The 9,636-nt window shown below is 47.6% G+C and overlaps 1 long non-coding RNA gene across 1 annotated transcript, besides 4 other annotated features; it reads right to left on the bottom strand.

The window, feature by feature from the left end:
• Nucleotides 1,749–1,858: an enhancer, noted in NCBI's record as "active region_15888". NCBI's record gives its function as "activates an Ori minimal core promoter by ATAC-STARR-seq in GM12878 lymphoblastoid cells {active_cell/tissue: GM12878}" and the evidence as "EXISTENCE:reporter gene assay evidence [ECO:0000049][PMID:35858748]".
• Nucleotides 1,909–1,958: an enhancer, noted in NCBI's record as "active region_15889". NCBI's record gives its function as "activates an Ori minimal core promoter by ATAC-STARR-seq in GM12878 lymphoblastoid cells {active_cell/tissue: GM12878}" and the evidence as "EXISTENCE:reporter gene assay evidence [ECO:0000049][PMID:35858748]".
• Nucleotides 2,579–2,688: an enhancer, noted in NCBI's record as "active region_15890". NCBI's record gives its function as "activates an Ori minimal core promoter by ATAC-STARR-seq in GM12878 lymphoblastoid cells {active_cell/tissue: GM12878}" and the evidence as "EXISTENCE:reporter gene assay evidence [ECO:0000049][PMID:35858748]".
• Nucleotides 4,028–4,187: an enhancer, noted in NCBI's record as "active region_15891". NCBI's record gives its function as "activates an Ori minimal core promoter by ATAC-STARR-seq in GM12878 lymphoblastoid cells {active_cell/tissue: GM12878}" and the evidence as "EXISTENCE:reporter gene assay evidence [ECO:0000049][PMID:35858748]".
• On the bottom strand, nt 6,630–8,928 carry LOC105374769 (uncharacterized). Its single transcript, NR_187908.1, has 3 exons — nt 8,782–8,928; nt 8,174–8,368; nt 6,630–6,816 (listed from the first exon to the last, which is right to left on the bottom strand). It is a non-coding gene; the product is annotated as an uncharacterized LOC105374769 (long non-coding RNA).
• Nucleotides 8,929–9,636: the final 708 nt, after the last annotated feature.

A 9,636-nucleotide genomic window follows, 5' to 3' on the forward strand; every position in this document is an offset into this window, starting at 1 on the left:
ATTAACTAGTGGAGATGCTCATAAGATTGTGGGCTTCTTGAGGGCAAGGGTGCCCTCTTATTCATCTTTGTGTGAATGGCACAAAGTCGGTGTTGGGTAATGTCTGTTGATTGCTGAAGCGCTGGCAAGATGCCTAAGGGAAGAGAAGCATTGATTAATCTAGTGGTGTCTTCTCACACCCTGCTTTGATTGGAGGCAATGGCAATGTTAACCTCAAAATGTGTGTGGTGCTTTACGGTGTACACAATGCATCAGTCTACAATTGCGAGATGATTTTTATCCCCATTAGAAGGAAAATAAAGCAGAGGTGCAGGGAAGTTAAGTGACTTGCAATGCTATGGATTGATTTGAAAGCACTGGCACTGGAGTCAGTCAGATGAGTTTGAGTCCTAACTCTGCCTTGAACTAAGTAGTTACCATGTGGCTATGTGGCAATAAGCTAGGTCCTTACACCCTAGAAACTCTACTTTCCTCATGGATAAAATCAAGATGATGACGGCACCATTTACATAGGATTATCTTGAGGATTAAATGAGATTATGCATATAAAGTGTCAGGCACATAGTAAGTGCTCAGTAAATACTGGCATTTGCTAGTGGTCATAGAGCTGGGGCTCTGGTTGTCTGACTTCAGTCAAATATTCTTTGACCCAGATTTGAAGCCTGTGATCAGCACATTTATATTGAACAAATGCACGGCAGAATATTGAGAAGGAATTTATGACAATATTTACATAAAGAGTTGGCATTTGCATTGATGAAACCAAAAACAGAGCCCTAAGAACTGACCAGTGAGAAAAACCATGGATGTCTCTGAGGAATTTGATATAACTATGTAACTATAATGTTCAGCACAGTGACCTTGGCTTGGAGTCACCAACTGATTTCAATTGTTGTTTGAGTTATCACTGGAGAATGGAATATCATTCATTTGTTTAACAAACACTTCTTGGGCACCCGCTGTGTGCCAGCCACTGTGCTGTGAGTCAGGATGTAATGGACAGCAGAAGAGGCAGAGCCTGCGGCTGCACGAAGTCCCCAGTCAGGTAGGAACACTGGAGGGGCTGCTCTCAGCCTTGAGAATCTCAGCAGCCAAGGAGCCACGCCCCTGGTGGGTCGGGGGACCACTCAGACGGGTGGTGACCAGGCTCTGTTATGATTTATTTTCTCTTAATGGTAAAGTTGTGAGCAAGTCTCAACTCTCATTTCTTCTTAGAGAAAATATAGGCAAGAAGTGGTCACAGAAATAAAGCTGGAGAGGAGAGTCCTTTTTTTGGGTAGGGTCCTAGGATCCATGAAAACGTCTCCAGATGGCAGATCGTCTGGAGGGAGAATCCCATGGCTTATCCTCATCTAATCGGATCATCTATCTGCTTAAATGCTATCCCAAAGGATATGTGTCTTGGCTGGGTGAGACAGTGGAGGAAACCCCTTTGATTTTCTTGATGAGACTTCTCTTCCTTCAATGTAGATTCACAGAGAAATGATGGTTTAATAGAGAGATCTAAATTATCCAAAATTAACAACTTGACGTTGATGGTGTTAGCCTCATAACTACTGATACAGAGACAACCAGAGCTAAAGCATTGGCTTTTAGGCCCCCTTTCTAGGACAATATGCTTATTTCCAAAGGAAATGCATTCTCCCATCCAGGTCATATCTTCTGGCTGTCCCAAAGCCAACACTGGAGCTGGTAGAAGGGACTGAGGTATGATTTGTGTCATGCCTTTTTATTTGTCAGACCAGCAAATGCCATACTTGACTCATAGAGTGAGCTTGGGGATTAAATGAGATCATATATGTAAAACAGCAGAGTGCCTAACTTGTGACAAAGACTTAACATTTGCTAACCATTTGGAATGGATGTCTGGTTTGGGTCTGTCTAGCACTCCTATCTCCTTTGGAGAACAGTCCCCCTTCTATTCCACACTGCCTTGGTGGGCATGGTACCCTTTCTCCTGAATGCAGCAAGAGAGAGTTAGGCCCACATACAAGGACATGCAGAGATGAGAACGGGATAGACAGAGAGAGAGTCCTGGCATGTGTGAGACCAGACATGGTTCCTAAATCCCAGATTCCTATAGCTTCTTTTTCAATTCTGAGTCACCTTGGGCCAAGCCACAGAGGTGAGCAAAGAGTTCCCATTTTACTTAAGCAGCCTGAGTTGAGGTTCCATAATTTGCCATTGGTCCCATGAGGATGTGAGGCCGTGATGCCGTAAGTCCACGTGGCAGGAGAACTGGGTGGACAGTAACCTTTTAGGTGCCCACAACTGAGAAGTGAGAATGTTCTCAGAGCACCCCTGGGTCTTAGTCACTGACATTTAAACAGGCTGCAAAACATCTTTCACCTGCCTCTTACATGCCCTCTATGAGTTACATATTGTGGCTTACCACCGAAAGTAACACCTCCCTTCTGAGTCTCAAAGACAGCAAGGCAAGCTGAGAACTTGGAGATGTGTATTAGTGAGAGGAACCTCCCACTGGTTTAGATCAGGGAGGACATCCCGTGGTCTGCTCAGGTCAGTCATGCCCCAGGCCAGCAGCTGGAAGGACAGCAGAGTGGGCTCAGTGAGCAGTGAATATAACCCAGAAAATAGATGTTCATCTCAAGGGCAGTCTCTGGGCGTCATGCATCTTTGGACCCCCAGGGCTGAGTGCTGCATCAAGGAGTCTGAAGTTCTTTAAGGTCCCAGTGAATGGAACGGAATCTGCCCCAGCTGGTAGCGTGTCCCCGGCTGCACTAAATGAGATTCTGTGGGGTACGGGGAAAGGCATGAGAACTTTAGGCCCCTGAGGTCAGGGAGACACAGCCAAATAGCTCAGATACAAAGTGTCTTGGCAGGCACAGAGGGGTGTAGCAGTGAGGTGAGTGGGCGGGGAGGGGGTGCATTTTTTGCTAGTGTGCCCAGTTTTGTTGACAAAAACGGTAGCATCTGAGCAGGACCTTGACCAGCTGGTGGGATGCAGGGTGAGTGATATGCGCAAGATGTGGTCCTGGGCCAGCACCATCAGCATCGTCTGGGAACTTGTTAGAAAGGCAGAGTCTTGGCCAGGCGTGGTGGCTCACGCCTGTAATCCCAGCTCTTTGGGAAGCCGAGGCGGGCGGATCACAAGGTCAGGAGATCGCGACCATCCTGGCTAACGTGGTGAAACCCCATCTCTACTAAAATACAAAAAATTAGCCAAGTGTGGTGGCATGTGCCTGTAGTCCCAGCTACTCAGGAGGCTGAGGCAGGGGAATCGCTTGAACCCGGGAGGCAGAGGTTGCAGTGAGCCGAGATCGGCCCAGTGCACTCCAGCCTGGCAACATGGGACCAGGCGGGCAAGGCAGGCAGGCATCTGATTGCAGGATCCCCAATACCAGATTTTAGAATCATGTCATTTTTCCATACCACTGAGAAGCTCCTGAAAGTTTTTGAAGAAGAGTGAGTCATTCATTTATTCACTCAGCTAATATTTATCAAGCACCTACCACGTGCCAGGCCCTACACTGGGCACCAAGATCCAACAGTCAACGTGCCCACATTAGCTAAGGGCAACTTTTAAGCAAGGGCTTATTCAGAGACAAGATTGCTATTGTCTGTGTTTTCCATCTGATTTGCGAATGGAACATACACCTGCTGTGCTCTCCAGAAACAACTCTGCTGCTTGTCTCTGACAGAAGCGCTTCAGTTGAGCATTTATGGAAGTTTCTAACAGTGGTGATGTGAATGGATGACAGAAAGCAGGCGCGTGCGCACACGCAGTTTTCAAAGGCTGGGGGCCAGTGGGAGAACGCATTTTCTTTCAGGTCTGTGCTGCCTGCCAGGGAGCTGCTGTTCTCGTGCGGCATCTTAAGATGGCCCTGGCAGCCTTTGGCTTTTGCCTTGTGAGGGTCAATGGGCTTCAGGTGTTTCTGTGTTGATCTAACAGTTTCAGGAAGCCGTGGGCTGGGAGGGTGGGGGTGAGCGAGGGGAGGAGTGGGGAAGGGAAGGAGGAAGGCTGTGGGTAGCTTCTCTTCTGTTCTCACATGACAGCTCTGATGAAATTAGAGTGTGATCTCAAAGACAAGCTGGTCTTTTCATCTGAATTAAATGAAATAGGCCAATATGCTCTTCTAGAAGATCAAACATACCCAGGACAATGTTCAATCCTCTTTCTTTGTCCCACTTTGGGACAAAAACCAAACTGGGGAAAAGAACGGGGAGGCTGGAGCGCCTGCTGGGGCCCCTTCTCTGCCCACACGGCTCCTCTTGGGTTCTGGGCAGGCTGAGCTTAGCGGGCATTGCCCTCTGCTGGGGCATATCAGGAGAAATGAGCTAAGGCCAGGGGTGGTCCTATCAGGTGGCAGAGGACAGGATTTGGACGAGTCGCAGGGCTATTACTGATGGAGATTTAGCACTCTGGCCTCTGAGAAAACAGCCAGGTTTCTGATCTGCCCAAGCCCTCTGTCTCTCCTGTCAGGGGCCTTCTCAGCACCCCCTAAACATTCCAATTCCTCTCCTACTCCAGTCTATTCCCTTCTTTCTCTGAATGGTCCATAGCTTATCCCAGGTCTGTGGGCAGAGGGGAAAGAAACAGAAGGGAGAGCTGAGAAATCTCTCCCGCCCAGCACAGTCGGTATCACAAGCTCTGTGTCCGGTTTCCTTGTCCTATATTTGGTAACACGACAGTGGCCTTTCTGACTGATGCGAGCCCCTGTTCTCTTCACTCCCTGGGGATTGCTGATAGGAGGCCAGCATTTCAGTAGGCAGCGCATCATCAGCCCTACCACGGATCTTATTTTAAACTAATTACATTACTGAAGGGTGGGTAGGAGGGAGGAGAAGGGGTAATTATAACCGGGGAATTTTTTTTTAAAGGCCTAGTTTCAAAAATCTCAGACTTAATTTAGTAAATTTCAATTACAGAGAGTTACTAAGCTGAAGATCATTTGCATTACATCCTTAATTACTACTTCATTTGTATCTGAGATCATCAATAGAGATTCTTGGGAATGTGTACTTGGAATAAGTGATTGATCCTAATGAGGCCTTTGTTCCTCCCAAGCCTCACTTAGGAAGCTATTTCTTCCCTCTTGCAGAGGCACAGAGTTTGCCAAGCCAGGTGGAGACACCCTAAACTAGAAATGGAGCCTGAGGTTTTCAAACTGGTTTTGCCAGAGGCTGCAAGACTCTAAGCTCTGTCCTGATGTTCCCCAACAGGCATTAATTGCTCTCCCCTGAATGCATTAGCACTGCCAGACTATTACGGATGATTAGCCTCCGTGCCCAGCTACAAACGTCCATCTTTCTTAGTTGGTAGCAGAGGAAATAGCCTTTTAGGACCTTCTCCTTGCACAGGATGGATGCCGTCCTGGACCTTCCTGCTTCTGCGTTTCCCGCCACCTTTAAAGAAAGTGCATCCAGCAGTCCTGGCCACTGGGTCTTTATTGGAAAAGCTGTTTTCCAAGATGATTTAACTCTGAAAAAAAAAATGAAAAGCCCACAAGAACTGAAGACCCTGTGTGCGTGTGTGTGAGTCTGTATTAAGACCCCTTTTATAGGAGACAGACTCCTTTTGGGGAAGAGGGAGAGGTAGGGAAAGGACGAAGTGAGTAAAGGCACTCTCAGCTAAATCCTGCATGCCCATAGTTCCTTCATTGTATGGTACCTCACACCCTTACAGGGCTTTACCGAGCGCTTGTTCATCTGTTAGCTTACAGGTAAGAGAATCATTGTCCTCATTCTCTGAGTGAAGAAACTGATGCTCACAGTAGTTAAGTGACTTTGCCCAAAATTACTGAGCTGAGGAGTGACAGAATGGGGACTGAAGTCCCAGTCTCTTAATTCTGTGCTCCTCGGATACCCCCAAACCACCTCCATGGTCTTCCAGCAGCCTGAACATTTATCCATTTATGGAGGTCAGGGTGTGGGTCCCACTGCAGCCTGCTGCCCCATTTAAACTTTATTTCTGAATCTGTACATTTAAGCAAACCACTTTGTTTCAGAGGCATCCAGAGAGTAGCCTTACTTAACCTTCTTCTGGAGGTGTGTCTATTTGGTGGAGAATGGTGGAGGGGCCTGGAGGGAAGGAAAGGGAGGAGCCAGTAGGGAATTTTCACAGTTTTCCACCAGATGAGGCCAAAGCCCAGAAGTCAGACAAATCCACGATTCTCCTGGCATTCTACAGAGTTGCCAACTCCCTGCCCTGCTCTTTGCTCTCATTATTCCTCTGGGGTGGTTTCCAAGGGTGGAGAAGTGTAGGCTGAGGAAATGTCTGTGTTGAGGGAGGGCAGATGCTGTGAGGAGGGAGGTGTTTACACCAAGCATCGAGCCAGGCCTTGGAGTCACAGGGACAGGCCCAGAGCAGGAAGTGTCCTCCAAGCTAGAAGTCCTCTAGTTCAGAGGTTCTTTGTCTCCTCAAGAACCTCCTGGAACCTCCTGGACATTGTAGCATCCTCTGCAATAGCCACTACCCCTAGCAGTGCAGATGGAGTACTGTAGTGAAATGAACAAATTTTTTGGAGCTCAATAACTCTGGGTTCAAATCCCACTTCTGCTTATGAGCTGAAAGATCTTGAGTAAGTCCTGTAACCTCCCTAAAGATCAGTTGAGATTACCAATATCCACTGCCTTGGCTGTTCTGAGGTTGAAATGAATCACGTTAAACAAATAGCAAATGGTGGCTTTAATTAGTAGAGGGTTAGAGGGCAGCCAGACAGTGGCAGGACAAAAAAGGAGGGCTGCTTGTCCTGTAGGCAGTAGCAAGGAGCGGGAGTGGATTCCACAGTGAAGCAGCTTCCAAGGGCTTTTTGTAAGCAGCCCCTATGCTGGCTCTGGGAGAGCTCTGAGAAACTAGTTTGAAAAGCATAGAAGTCATAAAATAGCACCAGTATTTTTTTTCTAGTGTGAGCAAAAATATTCATGCAGACAAATCCAAGCCAATCTTCTGGGACTAAGACTCTAAATATTACTTGTGAGTCACCCCAGCTTCCTTCCAAGAGAAAGACTCCCCCATCCCCTCACCCAACACCCCCGTCCGTGACACATTAAGATTGTAGCTTTTCAGCTTCTTCCACCAAACTCTCAGTCCCTCATCGTGGGCATGAGGACAGCCCTGTGTGCAGAAAACGTGTTTCTCCATTTCGGTCTCTCTCTTGGTTAAAGCCAATTTCCAAAAAAACCAAAACCACCTTATCAGAGCAAGACCCATGTCAAGCTCCGCAGCAGGCACTAGGTGGCGCTAGATCCCATGTTATTAAGGCAACTCTAAAGCTGCGCCCTTTTCTGGAAAAATGTTTCTGTTGTGAGATCCTCTCTTTCCCAGAGACCTGAGACCACCTCAGTTTATACCACAAGCTTAAAGCGCCACCAGAAGATCGCATACTATCTCAGGAGCCCCAGCTTTGCTGCTAACCTAGTCCTTTTCAGGGTGTGGCTGTGGAAGGAGTTTCTAGACCTGAGGCTGGAGACCCCAAGTCCTTTGCTGAACTGTAAATAATATTAGGAACAAGTAGTCCATTTCAACTTCTGCTCTGCCCTGAGGCGCAGGAAGGAAAACAACTTTTTCCCTTAGGAGGAGGTGAGGAAAAAAAAGAGGCAGATCCTAGAAGCTCCTTTGTGAGAGCAGCCAAGCATCTTCCCTGCCCTCTCCCGCAGAATGGAGGCCCACCCCGACCTCAGGTCATTTCCTTCCATGGCCAGCCCCCTCTCAGGGTGAAACATGATCCTCAGTGCCCCTCTGGAGGTAAGCTGTAGGTTCTTTTTTTCTCCAGGGATCTGAGCTGAGGTTGCCCTGAAATGCCTGTTTAATTTCATTGCCGAGAGCACACCTTCTCATTATTTCGAGAGCTGTGACCCCAAAGCACTTATGAACAATAGCAGCAACTGGCAGTTATAAGCTATTTACAGTTTTCTAAGCGTTATGAGCACTCTTGATGCCTGGAGAGGCAGGTGAGTTGCATTTTCTGTTTGCAGATACAGTGACTGACACCCCAGGGTCTCATTGGAACTGCTGGCACTGATGTTGTCTCTTGGAAATGATGATGATCATTGTTGCTTATTATAATTTTCACTGTTATGTTCCCTTTGATGTGTAAGAGGCCAAACAGAACACAAGCTTTTGGTTAATGGGTTTCCTGTTGGCTGAGTCTATCTGGGCTGAATGTGGAGAACCACTGAAAGGAGGTGAATGCCCTGAGCAGACCTTTACCTTCTTGGCCATGTGAGAGTTTACTGCAGTAGGAAGCTGGGCTCCGCAGAGTAAAGGGCAGGTGTGTGGGGAAGCCTTCCTTGCCCCTTCCACCGTGTGAAGACATAGGGAGACGATGGCCATCTATGAACCAGGAGGCAGGCCCTCCCAAGGCCTGTTGCTGGCACTTTGATCTTGGACTTCCAGCCTCTAGAACTGTGAGAAAAGAGTGCCTGCTGTTTAAGCCACCCAGTCTGTGCTATTTTTGTTAGAGCAGTCCGAATGGACTAAGACAGAAATTGGCATGCCTCTGTGACGTCGCAGAGACATTTAAGCCCTCAAAGAGGCCAGCCCCCTCTCAGGGTTTTTCTGGAAAAATGTTTCTGTTGTGAGATCCTCTCTTTCCCAGAGACCTGAGACTAAATGGTGCAATATAGTTGAGGCAACACAGTATATATAAATAAAAAGAAAATGAATGACTCAGAGAAGTTCTAGCAAGAGTCCAGAAACCCAATATCCTAGCTTGGCCGTGCAGAGGTTCCCTGTAGGGCAAAGAGTGGGGAAGGAGTTGGTGGGGCTGGGAAGAGGGGGAGGAAAGGCCCTGTTAGGTGTATTCCTGTTAGGAATACCTGGTGGCCTTTGCTGGGCTTTACTTTCTGCATAAGAAGTGGTTTTCCCCAAGCTGACGTCCAGGCTCTAGATGTCCAGCTGGGGTGTAATCAAAGGCTTTGGGCACCAAGTGCCTGGCTGATGTTTTGCACCTACCGGATACTCTTAAGTCCAAAGTTGCCAGGCACTGACTGCCTTGAGCATTGTTGAGATTACCACGGAGACAGCCTGTTCCATGGCCCATGAAGTCAGAGAGAGGTCACCTAGGAACCGGTGGGCTTCACCTTCTAGCTCACATCCCCACAAGTTTCTGCTCCTCGGGTCCTCAGAGGCTTGGATGAAGTTCAGGCCCATCACCCCCACCCCATCACAAACTCTCCCCCTTCCCTTCCACCACACTTTGGGAAAGTACTTCTCTTCCCTCATATTTGCTTGAAGAGCTTTTCTTTTAAAAATAAACACAATTATCGTTTTATAGGAAATGAACATACATGTAGAAATCCAACAAAAGGATTTATAGTAAAAAATAGGTCTCCTTCCCACCCCTGTCCCCCAGCACCCAGGTTCTCTTCCAAGAGGTACCCTCTAATACTCCTTGTTGACAGAAAGAGCCAAACTCTGTAAAATATTTGCAAAGATTTATTCTGAGCCAAATATGAGTGACCATGGCCCATGACACAGCCCTCAGGAGGGCCTGAGAACATGTGCCCAAGGTGGTCAGGGCACAGCTTGGTTTTATACATTTTAGGGAGACGTGAGACTTCAATCAAATACAGTTAAGAAATACATTGGTTTGCTCCAGAAAGGTGGGACAACTTGTAGGTGGGGGAGAGGTGGGGGCTTCCAGCTTATAGGTAGATTTTAAAGTTTTCTGG

Source organism: Homo sapiens, chromosome 2 (genome assembly GCF_000001405.40).
Source record: "Homo sapiens chromosome 2, GRCh38.p14 Primary Assembly".
Taxonomy (NCBI): Eukaryota; Metazoa; Chordata; class Mammalia; order Primates; family Hominidae; genus Homo; species Homo sapiens.